We start from the raw sequence: 18,489 nt of genomic DNA, 5'->3' as shown, positions 1-18,489 counted from the left end.
AGAGAGAAGTCGCTGTCTCCCAGGCTGGAGTGCAGCGCGATCTTGGCTCACTGCAAACTCCACCTCCCGGGTTCAAGTGATTCTCCTGCCTCAGCCTCCTGAGTAGCTGGGATTACAGGTACATGCCTGGCTAATTTTTGTGTGTTTTAAGTAGAGACAGAGTTTCACCATGTTGACAGGCTGGTCTCAAACTCCTGACCTCTGGTGATCCGCCCACCTCAGCCTCCCAAAGTGCTGGGATTACAGGCATGAGCCACCATGGCCAGCCTTTTTTTTTTTTTTTTCCTCCCTCACTCTTGCAAGGGATTTTTGAGCTCTCCATAGAATGCCCATTGAATTCCTCCCACTAAACTAACCTTCCTCGTCTGTCTTACAGGAAGCCCAGGGGAGAGGGCAAAAAGTGTCGGAAGGTGTACGGGATGGAGAACCGAGACATGTGGTGTACCGCCTGCCGCTGGAAGAAGGCCTGCCAGAGGTTCCTCGACTGAGAGACCCCCAGGCAGAGGGGCTCAGGGCCCTGAGCCGCTCCTGCCCTGGCCTGCCACTGCAGGTGTTGGAAAGAGCTTTTCCTACTGAATAAAACACAGTTGAAGCCAGGAAAAGCCCTTTCAGGAACCTTGGAGGAATAACAGCAAAAACACAGAAAAATTGTTTAAGTCACCACCTATGACAAAAGAAAGTTGCTCTTACTGAGAACCCAGCTTGGAGCAGCTATAACTAGTTTTTTTTCCTTCAAAAGAAAAGTCAACTTTTTTTGCTGTATGTCTAGACTTAAAACTGTGGACTTCTGTAGCAATTGAACCAACAAAGCCCATTTTACCTAGAAAGGAGGCATATTTTGATAAGCTTTCTGAATTATGCCATTTTCAAGATTTTTTTGACACTTAAAAAACAAGCTACAGGTTATTCAGTAGCATTTGTACAAAGATCAATACTTACTTTTGTTGTGAATAATCTTTTCCGTATCTTCCATTTGACTTCTTGGAGCAGTATATGTCAGGATGTGTTGCAAGACAGCGCAGCACTCTGGGCATCTTTTCTATGGCTTTTTGTTTGTTTTTCTTTTAAGAATGGCCCCACACTGAACCATGGTAGAGCTATTAGTTTGTAGGGCCCCAGATGGCATAAACTCGAGAAGGGATTGTCCACGGAAATCACCAGCAGACTTCAGCCCGAAGCTGAGTTCAGGAAGTCCAGCTGTCACTGTTGGGAAACATCTAGGAGTCTTCCTTGGATCCATAAGAAGCTCTTCCCCTAAAGGCAGCACAGCTAACTCTACTCTCTACCTGCCACAACTCAGTCAAGAATTGGCACCTGTAGCCATCTGGGTAAGCCTCGATGCTTCTTTCAGGGATGTGACACAAATGGCAACTCGGAGCTATTTGTTACTGCTTGTCTGTCAAGATTGTAGCCAGGTTAATGGGTCATTTTCCTTCTCTCCAGACTCCACCACTGACTGATTTCAGAAGAGGTAGAGAACTCCAAACTGTCCCAGCAGGTTTGCTTTAGACAACAGAGCACAGCCCACATGGCCCTACCTGTTCAGAAAGTCATGTTAGATCAACAAACCACTTCCATTCTGAGTGCACTTTTATAGGTTTTATGCTTTAGCATGTCCGGGAGATGAGTTAATTAACAATATAAACATTATGTGAGTAAATGGAAGGTCCAAACTTTAAGTTTTTCTTATAAAAATATTGGAGCTATTCATTTAAGAATTTGCTCAAAAGGGAACATAACGCCAAAAGGAAAATGCATGTAGGTATAGGAATTTCTCAGTTTAGTAGGGCCAGGGCTTGCACTATGTTCCATTTATTGGGCTTCGTAACTTACTTGCTTGTTTGTTTGGGGGATAGTGGTGTGGGGAGAGGGGAGTCGTCAAGCCCTATAAATAAGCTCATTCTCTATCTACCCGACTCTCAATTGCCCTGCTAAAGAGTTATTTCTCCTATACCTATGCAAAGTAGGAAGAGCACCTTATAGGAGGCACTGTATAGGGACAGGGGACATGGGATCAGCCATAGGAATGTTAAATGAAATTGCACAGAGGAAAGTTTAATATATGTCTAGAGATTATACATACACTTTTTTAAGCGTAAAAAGAAGACATCTAGTAATGACAGATATTCTTTTTATATACAAGCAAAAGAAAGTATAAGGAGGTTCTACAGTGCAACATCCACAATCTGTGCATTCACATATTATGGGACTTTTATTTTTTAAACTCTCATATAAATTTTTTAAAATTACTCCTTGGAAGAGATCCTGGTTTTTTTCTTCATTTATTTTTTTCTTTAAAAACATTTATTTTAAGAGAAGAGAAAAAGAGCTTCATCTAATTTTGCATCTTGATTACCAATCAGTACTAGTCACAGCACCAGCAATACTGTATGTTTTAGACTGACAAGGTCAGCCAGGAAATGGCATTTTTTTAAACGCAGAAATGTGTTTGTTTCCTCTACTCTAACACGTCCTTTCTCCTCCTGGTGTCCTGTCACCCCCCATGCAGCACCACTGATGCGAGATGATGCTCTGGCCTGGTCCAGGAAGCCCTGAGCCATGGGCAGATTGCCCAGTGGCCTTGGGCGGCCAGAGCTTGTCACCTGTTTAAACAAGTTCACCATGTGTTTAAATGACAGGGTACAGTCCTGGACCAGAGGTTTTTCTCTTCAGCAAAGCTCCCTGGCCCTTGATCGTTGGACTGTTACTAATAGAAAAAGATTCAAGTCATGAAGTATAAAATCCATCCCCCATCCCAGAACTTTGAAACACAAGGAGGGAGAGATCTTTGCTATGGAGCAGTCCTGGAGCAAAGCCCCGTGGCTTCCACCCCCAGATATATACCCCATAAGTAGTGCTGAGCTCCAGCTTAGCTGAGCCAAGCTCAGTCCTTATCTGGTGTTCAGCCAGTGCACAGGTATAAGCAGAACTACAGAGCTGAATGTAGCTTCCCTGGGATCTCTTCTCCTTTCTAAAGCATTTTTCACACAGTTCTGTACCTCCTACCCAAGTTGGGGCTGCTTTCTGCCTGCTAGCCCACGGCTCTGTGTACTTTCTTTTCTGGCTTCAGGTGCAGACAGACCCTCAGTACCTTCCTGGACACAGACACATATTCCCTGGACCAAGGCGTGGAATAACTAGTAGACCACCAAGCCACAGGTGGCTGGTCTTGAAGAAAAGGGATTATACTCCTTACAGGCCACCCAGAAAGCTATGAATTCCAATATACACCACTGATCGTGCAAGTTAGGGTTTTTTTTTTTTAAACGTAGCATTATTTTGTTATATTTTGGAACTAAATGAAGTGCCAAATTAACCAGACATTCGTTTGATGCCATCTCTGTGGAACCAAGTTCTCTGTGTGTGTTCGTTTGGCTGGGAGGAGGGGGAGGACTGGGCAGACTGCTCCCACAGCAGGCTGGCAGTGGAACTGGAGCCCTGGCCACCGCAGGGAGCTCAGAGGCCAATCTACGCAAAAGGCATGCAAAACAATGGATTCTGGTCCCAAAATATTTCTAAGTAAGGCATGATGTAGCCTTTTGATTTTTTTTTTATCCTTTGACACCCCAGCCTTCAGAAAAGGTTTTTCATCTCTCTCCAAAGAAGTCATTTCATAGTGACTGACAGGACATTCTCCAGAGAGCGACAAAGCAGAGTGGCCAGCAGGCAGTGGTGTTAAGCCTTGGGCCTTCCCAGCAGATGTGTGCTGCATTGGTGGGTGGGAGGCAGTGTGACAGCCTGGAGAAAACACACAGGTAGCAAGGGAGTCAGGGGGGAGGTACAAGAGGGCTGTGGACACCTGGCTCTTGCTCATCTTCTTGGTGCTGATCAGCTGGTGGTCACCATCCCTAAGTACCTCCCAGGGAGCTGCCATTTTCTCCTCTGGGAGCAGCTGCCTGAAGCAAGGAGAGAATGACCTGAAGGGAAGTACCTCCGGCCAAGAGTGCAGGGCTGCTGTGCCTAGCCTGAGCGGGCCATCTCTAGCAGATATGGACTTCTCTCCACCACACTAGCTGAAAAGTTTTCTCCCTTGGTTGGCAAAAGCCAGTGTCAGGAAAAAAGCTGTGGGTTTCTGACCAAGAATGTGTGCGCTTAGCTGCAAAGTGCCTGTCAGCAGCTCCAGGCACCAACAAGGTGCCCTTTTATTAGACAATTCCTGCCCGAACATAACCATATTGCAGATGAAAATTTTCAATAGAGAATGACACAATTCTTGACCTTTCTAAAAACTTTTCAAAGAGATAGTCACATGTGTATATGTTGCAAAAGATTTTTGAAACTGAAATGTCCTCCATTAAATCTCAAGAGCACTCGAGTTTTAAGTCTGCTGTTTCTGGTGTCACACTAAGACACACTTTTGAAAGCAGCCCTGGGTTCTGAATTAGTTGGCACTGCTGAATCCATGTTCCCCCTTCATCAGACTCCAAAGTGCAGCATTCACTTGCAAAGGTTGAGAGAAAAGTGGCCAGAATTGTACATATAACAGAGAATACCTTGAGAATAGTAGCAAAATACTGTAAATAATATTCATTTCCTCAGGGAAAAATAAAGGGCATGCAAAAATAGGTCTGGAGACTCCTGAAACTAGGAAGAATTTTGTTATCACTAAAGTCTTTTATAGTCAGAACAATTTTTTTTTCAAATGAACATGGTATCATTTCAAGACAAATTTATGTGAACTGGGCAGTACTGACATTTGTGAGGCATAGGGGAGTGCCCTGGGAAAACGGTTTGGAGCTGACCTGTAGCCTAAGGCTAACATTTGAACCACAGGTGCAATGCCTGGGGGTGGGGGAGGGGGACGGGGTGGGGGTGGTATTCCTAGACTCACGTAAGGCTTTTTCTGAATGTAATTGTGAATACAAAGCCTTGCTGGTCCTTTTTATCATTACCCAATGGATGACTGTTTATTAGCTATCAGCAGAATTCCGTAGGCGAAAGCAAGCCGTGAACGATGTACATTTTGCTTTAATAGCATGTTAGCGAACAAACTTCCATGGACTTTTGTGGACAAGGTGCTGCTTTTTCTCATGACCCTGTAGAATTGCTATCGACCACATCTTCTGTAGCACTGACCTGTGTGAACTCAGGGAAGAATTTGTGCATACAAATGAGTGGAAACAGAGCAGGATTCATGAATATGAATGAGAATGTGAATCATTTTGGAGAATGCCCTGGGCACACGGGTCAACTGGAAATTTCATTTCTCTAAGAAAGTAGCCCTACCAGCGGCACGGACTGTTCCTGTTCCTCATACCTGTGGGGATTCCTCCATATTGGAACTGTTTCATGTATCTTTTTTGCATTGTAACTAGCCAAACCTGAAGTCAGTAAATAAAATGAGATTAGCACTTTTTTTAGGTACCAGTTGTATCACTGAGTAATGCACACCAATAGAGCAAGAAAGTATAAAATGTATTTAAGACCAACTGGTTTGCTTATTATGACTGACTTTGAAAAAGCCCATATCCAATGATATACATGCTTTAAAAGGTATATCTATCGTAGGACCAGGAACCAAAATGGGAATTTTACTTCTGGTCCTGTTTTGTAAATAGTTCCTTTTTTTGAAGACAATCTCATGTTTTATAACTTTTGTTGTGGGTCTGAGAATCACAATGGTAATATGTCTTGGCAAAACATAACCTTTAAATACAAAAACAATTATAACTTAATTTTCCAAATAAAACAAGAAATACACTGATTAGGCTTCTACAGTTCTAAGAGACATGACACTTTGGTAATAAGCGTCAGTACTCTACTTCTCAAGTTAACTGGAAATATTTTACAAGATGCAGTGTTTTGTAATCACAAAGAACGCAGACATTTTGTGAGAAATGACCTTGGTTTTATACATTGTAGCTTATTTTTTAAAATATAGTATTTTACCAGGCAGGAAGTATTAATATTATAAGTAATTCTTGCTCACCAAACAAAGGGCTATGTCTCTTTTAAGCAAATGTTTTGATGCATATCTTTTTAATTAACCCTCTGCAGCAAGGGTAGAAATACAGATCAGATGGAATGGGTATTATAGGAGAATCAAGATAGCAACAGCTACTCCTTTTACCATTACTAGTGTGTTTTCAAAGTATGGAAAAAGATGCCTGAAGAGTCATTTTATATATTTTAAATCTAAAAAGTGTTAACAGGTATGCTTATAGGCCATGGGAGAAATATTCTTATAAATTTTTTAGTGTAAAATGATAAATTCTGTGTCACAAAGACAAGTTTACCACTTGACCTACCAGAATCACAGATACTTGCATTTAACTAGCAAGTATCATTTGGTGGAAATTTCTAAAATCATAGTAGACAGGCCCAAAGATAGAATTCTTAGGTGATCAGTAGTGTTTAAAATAATTTTGTCCTCAGCACTAACTATATAACTGTAATTTCTACATAAGAACAAGTGCTTCCAAAATATAGTGGAGGGAAAAAATAAAAAAGGAAAATAAAAAAACAAAACAAAAAGAACAAGTGCTTGATTTTTCACTGTGAAGAACTAGCAGGCACATGAGGTTGTGATCAGAAAGTGACTGAGTTCCCAAGAACCAGGAAACAGAGGGGAGTTGTGAAGAGTTTATTAAAACTGTACAAATAATTCAGAGCTTTGCCAAAACCATTTCATAATGCTGTACAGTTTTTTCAAGCCCACTCACTGTTAAAACAAGAAAGCACCTTTTCTTTCTAAGATTTTAGTAATCCAAAAGCTAGCCTAATTAGCCAAGTATGCAGATAACATCAAAAGCAAAGCTGAGATAGAACAGCCATACACCCGTTGGGCAGCTCTTATGAGGTGGTCAGAAGGTCACTCAGACCTTGGTTTCAAATAGGCTTTAGAATCTGCACACTTGAGGACTAGAAATGCACAGAGTTAGGGAAAGCCATGTACAGGCTTGGCTCCTAGTCTTTGAGATGAGGCGTCTTGCAAATCTCTGTTTTCACTCCTTGGAATGTCTCCATTGTTAGCATTAAAGTCCCCAAGAAGTTTTTATTGCTGTACGGTTTTGAACCCAATGAGTCTCATTTCCAAAAGATTCCTAATTCTATATAGGAGAGGTTGCAAATGTCAGTGCCTCAGAAGGACCAGGCAAGTTCTGTAAATGATTGATGTGGATAAGGCAAAGAGGAACACAAGAATGGTGGAGACCAGGTTGAACTGCAGAACACATGCCCTCTTTGAAGGGGTGCCCACACTCAGCTCTAGACAATCAGAACCATGCAGAAATCAGGCCCAGGGCTGCTAGATCTTCTGACGTGGAAGTATGATATTACCTGACACGTAAGTGTTGACAACTAACTCAAACTCTTGGCCAACACTGTGCAGACCAAAGAGAAGCTGTACACAGACAGGTGCAGCCTGCAGCCCCCAGTTTCAACTATTGGGAAAAGTGGATTTCACATTCCACAGTTGTCAGGTCAGGTTCATCCATCAGCCCCACAAACTCACATGTCGGCACTATCTGGGCAACTAAAATAAAAGAGGGGAAAGAGATCATTTCTCCCCAGATATCATTCTCATGGCAGACTTGAATATAGATACGCTGAGTTATCCAGCTCTCTCACTCTGCCTCCTTTTGGCATGCCCAGGCTGTGCCCCGTAAAGTGTTGAATCACTGTTATCCTAATTTTCTTAGTGTTTTCTACCGTGGCCACTGTGATGAGGGGCTGGCAAAGAGCAGCCTCGTGCCTTCCGAGAAGGCTGCCAGGAGCCTCTGAAGCTTGAAGCGAGCACACATTGCCTCCTTGTGCCAAAGCCCTTGGCCAGCCTCCCCACACTCCTTCCCTCTCCATCCGGCCTCATGAGTCTTCGTTACCAAGTAAAATTACCACTGCTTCACCTCTGATACAGCAGAAGCCTTGCTTCAGAACTGGTAGGCATTTAGGCTATTTCAGAGTGTCCACTAACCTCAAAAGGAGGTTTTTCCACATACAAAACCCTAGCATCTTTGAGGGGAAAGCAAAATGAGAATAAATTATGTCATGAAAAAAATTAGAAGTTGCTTCCTTCATTTAGATGGACTAAGTTATTTTAAACTCTATCTTACATCAGAGTCCTGATGGTGTTGGGATAGTCACTGACCCTTTCACGTATGTAATAAGATACGTCTCGTTCACACACTATTTCATTTGATCTTTGTAAGAACCCAGTGTAGAATAGGAATATTTAAAATCAACATTACCCACCTCCAAGGCCAACCCAGAGTAGTCTTGAACCTGAGTCAGCCTCAGTATTGCTTGCAAGGAAGAGGGAAGGGGCTCATTAAAGGCCTGGCTCAAACCTTAGTCTTCCAGACTGACTAGGGACGTAAGAAGACCCAGGGACCCACCATGTTCTCAAACCATCTATTCAGTCCAGGCCTTTCAGCATAGACATAAAGAGCCCACCCGTTACTCAGTCATGTTGCCAAGTGCAAACTGATTTATCCCCAGATGAATCCCTTTACTGTAGCAGATCCCTAATCCCTAAATTTCAGCCAATTTGGTAGTTAATTATAGGAGTTTATTAGCTAAATGTATGTTCTGAGTAAAAGTTTTGACTCTTTGGGGAAAATTTATTTTGCTGCTAGCATACAACATTTGCTATGTATATAAACTTAAGTCAATGCCAGAAATTTTAAAACCAGCTCAAATTTATAATCTGTAATGATCAAATCAAAACATACTGTAAACTCAGAGTTGGAAACGCCTGGTAATATGGTTAAGTCATGTTTAAATATGAATGCAATTTAAATGACATTGGCAATGCCTGAGATTTCTTTCATTGTGAATGATTAAAAGGCAGTCCAATATATGAATGGATTTCATCTTACCTTTCTCCCGTTAATTTACTAGGTGTAACATCTTGAGTGTAAAGTCATTCACAGGCAGTTGGGTTGTGGAGCTAGAAGGAGCCTCAAAAAAAAACTTTTTGGCCAGACTCCTACATCATGAACAGGGTTTTTGATGAATAATATTTATTATTATGTTTCTAAAGTAATACAGTGTTGGAGAATGAAACAGTTTAGTCCTTTCCTCTTCTGATGGAAAAGAATCATAGCGCCGTTGCCATGACAATAACAGGATGTAGAAAGACCCATGAAGAAAGAAAGAAGAAAGCTATGGTTCCGAAAGCAGGTAACCACAGATTTTGAAAGGAGGCAGAGATGGTGATTAAACTGTAGTCCTTGTTTTTTAAAATGTTCTTTCATGTTAGGCACCACCACATAGTTAATAACTACCAACTTCTAAAGAGAAGATCCCCTTGATTTATTTATATCATGAAAATACTAAAAATCAATTCTCAAGTCTAATTAACTATTACATTATCTTGCTAGGTCCTTTTCCCTAAATTTTTAATTCAGAAAATTAACCAGAATTGGCCAGATGCAGTGGTTCACGCCTATAATCCCAGCACTTTGGGAGTCCAAGGCAGATGGATCACTTGAGGTCAGTAGTTCAAGACCAGCCTGGCCAACAGAGGAAGAAAGAGTGAAAACAAAAGAAGAAAGAGGGAAACCCTGTCTTTACTAAAAATACAAAAATTAGTCGGGCGTGGTGGCGCACACCTGTAATTCCAGCTACTTGAGAGGCTGAGGCAGGAGAATCCCTTGAAACTGCAGGCAGAGGTTGCAGTGAGCCAAGATTTCACTGCTGCACCTGGGGTGAGACTACCATTAAGGAAGGAAATTTCCTTTAAACAGAAAAAAACAAAGGTGCTCATCTATTTCTTCTGAATTCTCTCTACATCCTTGACTTAAGAGGAAAACCAGCACTCAAGAAACAGCTTTAAAAGAGAACAGTCCCCATTCTAGCTACCAGTCTTGCTTTCCCCCATCTTGGCAAGCCCCAGTGAATTTGCCATTGAAAGATTACCCTCCCCTTTGCCCTCATCTGCCTGAGCTAGAGGCCAGGCTGTTGTTAATGTTTTTTCAGTTCCAAAGCCCCTGATGGGACATTCTTGTTTCTGTGCTACTGCTTTCTCTCTCTTAAATTAAGGTGCAAGGGGATAAATATTACTATAACTGGGATGTAAGGCTCAGTCAGTGTGGCTATTCCCTCCCTTCGGGGGAAATATTCCATCTGTCTGAACGGTTTTAGGTGATCATGAGGAGAGCGGCTTAGTCACACAGCCAGCCACGCTCATCACAAAAGATTTGTTCAGACTCACTGTAAAGAATGACAAGGCAGATAGCTAATCCTTTCACTGTGCCTCAAAGCCCGCCGTGCAAGTCACCAACCCTACCGGTCCTCTCCACGTGCGAGGCTAATAGAGTGATCAGAACCAGGAATGTGAGCTGGGTTCCACCTTAGGAGGGGACAATGAGGACAGAGCAAGAGGGCTCCATGTTTAATTACTCCAGGCTCTGACTTCTGCCCACAATTACAGAGCATGAAAGCAGAATTGGCCTTTAGTAAGTGAAAAGGAAGTGGCTCCTGCAGCATATAATTGTTATAATTTCGTATTTATGGAAAGAGAAAAGGACTTCAGTCCACTCATGTTGTTAAGCACTTGTCCCTCACTCCACTGGAGCCCCCTTCCTATGTTTTGGGCACAGATGGCTGGGACCGAGAGGAAAGAGGAAGAGCGGCTGCCAGAGTGTGAATATACCCCTCAGGGATATACAGCGGAGTTTCATGATAAACTACCCATACTTTCCCAAAAAAGGTTGAGGAGCAATACATAACTTTGCAGATTACAAACCCTTGTTTTACTTTTTAAACCTTTTTTCCATACTCTGCTTATTGGAAATCGATGGCTGTGATGTGACCAACACCTGTGATGATAGCAAAGCCCCTCCTTTCACAGTCTCCTGACTGTTCGGGGAACCTCCTTGGTCATTGGTAGAAAGCTTTAGAAAAGACTTAGCTTTTTAGGGAAGAACTAAAAAATCTCCAAAACATACTAGTCCCATGACTTCGATAACTGAAAATGTCCTGGGTGTAAACTAACCCAGGAATGTGGATCATACATGTTTTTTTTAAAAAAAATCCCTGAATCAATATTTTCCTACAACACACCCTAAAATTCCTATTTTTGTAATTAATGGTTGGACAGTGATCAGCCATTTAAACATAGGCTTTCTGGAATAACCAGACACTAGAATAGTTTCCAAAGTGTTTTGCGTATCAAAATCCTATATACTTAGAAGAAGAACTCAGGATAAGAAAAAATCGCTAGGTCCCAAAGGGTTCATGACTATCATCAGATGCAACTGCGAGTGGCCTACGGTCATTTTTTCAAATGAGAAGACTGGAGAGAGAGAACAACAGTAATCACAAAACCTCTGTTGCCCTTAGTCCATGACAATGTTTAAGGAAACTTTAAAAAATTAAGCCATCTTCTGAATTGTTTTCTACACCAAATCTAAAATATTAAAATGAAATTATTAAATATTTAAAATGGGGTATTTAGTGGAAATGCAATCAGTAGAAAACATTGCTTTTTAGTGCCTGCTAAACAAGTAAAGGAGAAAGAATGAAGAGAAAACAGCAGTCCTTCCTGTGTGACACTCGTGTGGAAATGACAGGCATTCACATGTCATTGAGTGCTAACTCAAAAGCTAGGTGGCAATGCTGTCCAATGTTTAGAGATCTTTTGAAATATAATTTTACCACCATTCAGAGGTAAGTACTTGCTTAACAGAAGTCTTTAATGTTAGTGAATGAATGTATAAAATTATAAACTATGCATTTTCAAAGAGTAGCATGTATTTTGTATCGAATCCAAGTAAATTTTTTTCATAGCTACCTACCACAACTGCAAATTATTCAAAATAAACTTGGATACATATCCTTATGGGGATATGGGAAGCCCATCTATATTCTCCTACTTGATGTTTTTAAAGATTGAAACTTTATTCTGAAACATCAGGCTCTAAAAAATTCCATCATTAAGATGAATAAATGGGAAATGGTTTATTTGTTACTTCGTAAGCATAAATGGGAAATGTTGGCTGTTAGAAAATGTGCCCAGTTCTTTAAAGGTGGATGTTCTAGTAACACTGGATTAACAAGCAAACAAAACTGCATGAAGTGAACGAATATTTCATTGGATAAAGTTAGCATAGGTTTTATCTGCTGGGTTTAATTCTCAATCCCAGAAAAAAATATTCTTCAAGGGGTATCAGTTATAGTTTCAAAGAACAAAATATGAAAATATTGTCCAGCAAAGCAAATCATTGATCTTTTTTCAAAATTACTTATATTTTGGAAAGTCTATATAGAATATCCACAAATTTCTTCAGCCCTCTTGTTGATTTCATATTTTCATGAAACTTTTTCCCCTAATAATTTGTCTTCGCTCTTTAATCAGTGCTTTACTACATTACTCAGCCTGAAAAAATATCTTTTCCTTCATCTGACAATGTGGAAATAAAGAACTCCATTTCTGTCATTCTGGTTCTCTTCAGTGTCCATTGAGAAAGTTTCTCAACTGTTTGTAAAATACGGGGGGAAAAAAACACGCATTTCTAAACCTGGTACTTAAGGTTATACTGGATTGTTTGCTACCTAATTAGAAGTTATTGGGGAAGGGGCATTGTGTCTTTTTATATGATTTTTAGCCAAATCCAGATGTTCTGATACACATTTCTGAATACCTGTCTGACTGTAAATACAGCCTGTGGAGGTTCAGGTTGATAAACCTTTCACCTGACTGCTCCACAGCCATGCTCCTTGCCAGCTTCTGGCACATTGTACATAGATTTGTTGAATGTTTAAATGATGTTGTTTTTCTAAATGCTGTTCTCTAAAACAATTTTTTGAATTTCTTTTGCTTTCCATTGTTTTGGACTTTGTGTGTTCGTTTTTTAAAAAAAAAAATGTTTCCTAAATATTTAACACCAGGAAAAATATTTTTAAATACACTGGTGCTAATTGAAACAGAAGGAAATTTTCAGATCGAAGATGTACAATGTTAAATGTTCATACCAGTTAAACTGCACTTTCCCAAGGGGACAGCTGGCATCTACTTGAAATGGGCATCAAGAGACCACCAAATGTTTACAGTTTCTGTGGCCCGTTTAAGTGTAAAATGCAGAAGTGGCTCTGTCCCCCCAGAGTTAAGGATTTGCTACACTGGTCCTCTGGAAGCATTTAAGTAGAAGAAAAGGCTTATAGTCAGAATCACTTTAGTAATCGTCTTCTGGTCCTTGGACTTTTCTGTTCTGTAATGCTTGTAACAATGAATATGGTGTTGCCAATCTAGTCTGATATCATTGTTGACCTGTACTTACTTTGTGGATGGTTCTACCTGGGGTTGCACTGGCACAAACAGAGCCAGAACACTGGACTTTCAAAAGACCATTTTGACTTCTACAGTGTCCACACACATGAATTTAAATGCACTTGTAACTGGTTAATTACCATGAAGTAAGTCTAACTTCCACTTAATAAAAGTTTTTGTGTATCTGCTTCTATTCGGAGACCAATTTATTTAATTAAGGATAACTATACCAAGAAAGTCTCGCTGGGGCTTGGGGTTTTACCTAGAGTTGTAAAAATAGTTCAAAACCAAGGAGATGTCTTCATCATCAAGGCCATTTTTAGAAACATGTGGAAGGCATGTGTCCTCAGGTTCAGCCCTGCTAATGACAATTTCAACCCATTCCCTTAGCAATGATTGTCCAAATATGTTAGCTGCTGACCCTGTGCTGCTGACTGTTGTCCCAAGCAAGTAGGCAATGTGGCAAACAGAGGGAAAATAATACCTATTTTGAAGCTAAGCCAGCCTGGAATTGTCATCCTCAGGCCTCGGGCTCCCGAAGGTGGGTTTCTGCAAAGTTGACTTTCAGTGCCCACATGTTTGCCGTGGAGGAGGGATGGGCATAGCAACCTCCACATACTGTGCTCAGACTGTAAGTGCGCCTCTCCCAAGCCCTCTGCTCCCAGGCTCCCAGAGGCCCTCCAGGTCTCAGTGACTGGGACACGGCAGAACCCTCAGGGGCAGGGCAGCCGAAAAAGATATTGAGAATCTGGGTCGTAGATGCTGTCCTGCACAGTTGTGTGGAAAGCATAAATTTGCAAAATAAGTTTTTACTAAATACTTACTATACAAAGGGATGCTGCAGCAAACAGCTGATGAGGTAATGAATTTTTTTAGTGTAAAAATGCAAGCTACTTTCCTCTCAAAAAATACCCTGCAAGAACTTACATTTCCTAAGGGTGAAGACCATGTCCTGTGTGTTGTACCCACCTTGTGTCGTACTCCACCAGGCATATAATAGATGATCAATAAACTTTTTAATGAATGAACAAATTGTTCAGGCAGAGCATTTCTTCAGGCTTCATATGTGCTTTCTGCCTTCAACCTACCATTACTGGAACAAAGCAGAGGAAATAAACATTTTAAAGACTGGCATAGAAATTTATTTGGAAAGCCACATTTTTAAAGTTTCTTTAGAATATGTACATTCTCAAAATTGCCAACTCCAAATGACTATATTGATTACATAATAATTAGCCAATACAGGACAAAGTGTACAATCACATGGTTACTGTTTTAAGTAGAAATGCCTTGCACATAGCAATTCAATAAATAAGTGAACAAAAATGAATGCTTCTAAAGGAAATAAATTACAACATAGGTCTGTGCTCTTACAAGCAAGCAGAGTAAATGGAATGAGACTATTAGGATCTGTGTCAGTAACACAGGAGAGAGAATCCAGGCTGGCATTAAGGCATAATAGACACTATTTTAGGAGGAGGATCTGGGTATTATAGTCATCGTTTATTTGTTTGTATCTGTGTAATATATGCACATAGCTACAAAAAAATCAGGGTAGTAAAAAGCTTACAGTGAAAGCAGGTCCCTGCTGCTGTCCCTTTTTACCCCTTCATTATGCTCCCAGAAGCAGCCACGTTGACTTGTTTAACTGTTTCTTCTGGGACTTGATTCCATTTATATCTTTTTATTTAATTATATGCAAGTATGCCTGACAAGCAACAGTCAGCTCCAGCCAAGGCATCTATGGTATCAAGAGCGAGAGGGACGAAGCACAGCACAAGGCTGGAGAGCGATGCACAGGGACTGGCAAAGTGCCCAGCACAGGGAAGTGCCCTGTGTTACAAGGGGCACCCCCTGCACACGGTTGAGACCTAATGCTCTGAACAACACGGGCATCTCACTGGGCACTAGGACGCTGGCCTGTGGGTTGATCCATGAGTCTCTCACAAGTTTGCTGATTGTGAATCAATTCTCCAAAGCACAGTAAGCCTGGGTAACCTGAAAACAACCAAGTGTCCTCACCTCCAAATTAAACCTGCAAACCAGCCTCAGACCCCAGGCCAAAGCCTTCAGTCAGCCAGCTGGCTAGCAGGTCGCTCATGATCTCTTTTAATATCATCTGCACAGCAATTCCTAGTTTTTGGTGCATTCCTTACTTTAGCTGATTTCACTGTAATGCCCAGATCATCCCAGAAAAACAATTCATGTCAGATGTTGCAGAATGGCTCAGCTAAGGGAAAGTTGCTCACTGTTCACCTTGTGGCTACAGCCAGAGGTGCTAGAAACCAGCTGCACCCATATGTTTTACGTGTTTGGCTGCAAGTAATAATCCCAGTCAAATGAGACTAAGCAAACACGAGTGGGGATTTACTGAAAGGACACATGGTGTCTCTGTGGGACCCCCTGTTAAATGATGTTGCCAGGTCACACACAGGCCTGGAACCAGGAGTGAGAAAGGCTTTGGGAAAAAGGCAGCCACACTGCCCCTCCAGTCCCATCCTGTCATCCACTCTCCAGGGGGCAGCGAGATCAAGACTCCTCTCTTCTCTAGGGTCTCTTCCCTCCTCACCCTACATAGCTGCCTTTTTTGCTCTTCCGGCACATGGTGGAAAATGGCCAGCAGAGGCCTACATGACCTTCCAACGCATGCAATCAAGAGGGGGCTAGAATTTTGGAGCACCAATTCCAAACTCGAGAGAATTTGATTGGCCTAACAAGGGAGAGGCATCTTCCCCTGCTCCAACAAACTGGGCTGGGGTGAGAGTGTACTGTTCGGGGCCACATGGAAGTTTCTCTAATAATTACATTTGCACTGACCTAATAATAAAGTGTGGGTGGAGGTGGGCAGATCACTTGAGCCCAAGAGTTTGAGACAAGCCTGGGCAACGTGGTGAGACCCCATCTCTACAAAATATACAAAAATTAGCCAGGCATGATAGCAAGTGTCTGTAGTCCCAGCTACTCAGGAGGCTGAGATGGGAGGATCACCTGAGCCAGGAAGGTTGAGGCTGCAGTGAGCTGTTTGTGCCACTGCACTTCAGCCTGGACAACAGAGCAAGGCCTTGCCTCAAAAAACAAAAAAAAGAAAAAAAAATTGTGAGGTTGGGAAGGAAATGATTGGTGGAAGAAATAATTTTACCATTTCTAGTACAGGATAAAAAGGCCATTTTTCTTGCTAATAAATATAATAATGGGTTATTACACCCAGGAGGGATCTGAAAGATCATCTAATTTAACTCTCTTGGTTCATAAATGAGATTCATGACCTGTGAGTATCATTTGACATTTTAGTATTGTTTGATGCCAGTTTGTTTTCATAAGGTTCCATTGTTTACTTGTTTTCTGAAAGATAAGGTTATTATCTAGGCCATTGAAAACCACCTATGAAAAAATTATTTTTAAAGTTAAAAAAGGGGCCAGGCATGATGGCTCACACCTGTAATCCCAGCACTTTGGGAAACCAAGACGGGCGGATCACCTGAGGTCAGGAGTTGGAGACCAGCATGGGAAACATGGTAAAACCCCATCTCTACCAAAAATACAAAAATCCAGGTATGGTGGTGGGCGCCTGTGGTCCCAGCTACTCGGGAGGCTGAGGCACGAGAATTGCTTGAGCCTGAGAGGCGGAGGTGGCAGTGAGCCGAGATTCTGCCACTGCACTCCAGTCTGGGTGACAGAGCGAGACCATGTCTCAAAAATAAAGTTAAAAAAGAATTGCTTATTATCTTAAATATAGCCACACCGAGCACAGAGGGTAGGAAAACCGGAGCCATACTGCCTGAATTCAAATCCCAGCTTCACCATTTACTAACTGTATGACCATGGAGAAATTATGCAGCCTCTCTGTGCCTGTTTCCTGCAGCATAAAATATGGATAATAATGTGACCTGTCTCATATGAGTATTGTGAGTTATAAATGACTTAATATGTGTAAAGTGTTTAGTATGTTGCCTGGCACATATTGAGGGCCATGAAAGTATTTCCTTTTTTTTAATTCTCCCTCAAAGTATTTCTCTGAGTAATCAACAGTCTCATACTTTAAGTAGCTTGAGACAAATACATTAGTCCAAAAAAGCATCTTGAACCATTACAGAAGAAGCCATCAGTTAGCTGTGGTAAGCTAAAAGTACATATTTATTTCCAACAAAGATTATTTTCTAATGTTTCCAAGTTAGAACTCTGCACTATAGAAGTACAGAAAAGTAGAAAGAAAATCAGATAATTACCACTCTCGAAAATAAGCACTAGTAGATTGATACATTTTTCTCAAGCTATTTCCATGCATATTTATTTGCATAGTTGTGATCACACTGTATATATAATTCAGCATGTTGCCTTTAGTCACTTAACATTATAGCATATGCAGCTTCCCATATCATTAAATATTTTCAAATGCCTTCATTTCAATGGCCGTGTAATAGTACAGCATGTAGATATACACTGATTTCCTTAAATATTCTCCTATTTGGAAAATGTATGTTGTTTCCAATTTTATACTCTTTTAAACTTTTACTACAGTTGCCAAATTACTATCAAAATGATTTGGCTCAATTTACTCTCCCAGCAGCAAAGGGAATGAGTGTCTTTCTGTAGGCTCACCTGCAAGGAGTATTATCATTTTTTAAAAATCTGTCCTAAGTTGATATTAAAAGGCATGTCATCCTTGTTTTAATTTTTCCTTCCTTTTTTCCTTCCTCCCTTTCTCCTTCCCTCCCTCCCTCCCTCTCTCTCTCTCTCTCTCTCTCTCTGTCCCTCTCTCTCTCTTCTTTCTCTTTCTTTTTCTTTCGACAGAGTCTAGCTCTGTTGCCTAGGCTGGAGTACAGTGGCACAATCATAGCTCCCTGCAAACTTGAGCTCTTAGGCTCAAATGATCTTCTTGCCTCAGCCTTCCGTAGCTGGGACTACAGGTGCCTGCCACTGCTATGGTTTTTATGTTTCTATAGGGATGTGTTGCCCAGGCTGGTCTCGAACTCTTGGTCTCAAGCAATCCTCCTGCCTTGGCCTCCCAAAGTGCTGGGATTACAGGTGTGAGCCATCATGCCCAGCCAATTTATAGTTCTCAAATAAAAGCTAATTATGTTAAACAGTTTTCTCTGTCAGACATTTACAATTTCTATTTATGTCAGTTCATATCCTTTGTCTATTTATCTTTTGGGATCTTAACCGTTCCTTATGTATTAGTAGGAGTTCTATTGTTAGGATTTAAACTTCTGTCTTATTCGCTATACTTGTTTTTGCAATGTATGTGCATTTTAAATTCAGGTATGACACATTTTTGC

General features: G+C 41.2%; 1 protein-coding gene across 4 annotated transcripts in view, besides 1 other annotated feature; it reads left to right on the top strand.

The window, feature by feature from the left end:
• ZNF704 (zinc finger protein 704) overlaps window positions 1-13,403 on the top strand; it is a 255,969-nt gene extending 242,566 nt beyond the window's left edge. For 3 of the 4 annotated variants that reach the window (XM_017013725.2, NM_001033723.3, NM_001367783.1), the window contains exon 9: window positions 377-13,403. In XM_017013725.2, coding sequence (XP_016869214.1) covers window positions 377-488 — 112 coding nt within the window. In that variant the 3' untranslated portion in view covers window positions 489-13,403. The remainder of the gene's footprint in view (window positions 1-376) is intronic. The other variant, XR_928797.3, reaches the window with a different exon arrangement.
• Window positions 319-1,518: an enhancer, noted in NCBI's record as "CDK7 strongly-dependent group 2 enhancer chr8:81552571-81553770 (GRCh37/hg19 assembly coordinates)". NCBI's record gives its function as "activates an origin of replication core promoter dependent on BRD2, BRD4, P300/CBP, MED14 and CDK7 cofactors, with strong dependence on CDK7, by STARR-seq in HCT116 cells {active_cell/tissue: HCT116}" and the evidence as "EXISTENCE:reporter gene assay evidence [ECO:0000049][PMID:35650434]".
• Window positions 13,404-18,489: the final 5,086 nt, after the last annotated feature.

The sequence above is a fragment of the Homo sapiens genome, chromosome 8 (assembly GCF_000001405.40).
Source record: "Homo sapiens chromosome 8, GRCh38.p14 Primary Assembly".
Classification (NCBI taxonomy): domain Eukaryota; kingdom Metazoa; phylum Chordata; class Mammalia; order Primates; family Hominidae; genus Homo; species Homo sapiens.
This window is presented reverse-complemented; position numbering and strand designations above follow the sequence as displayed.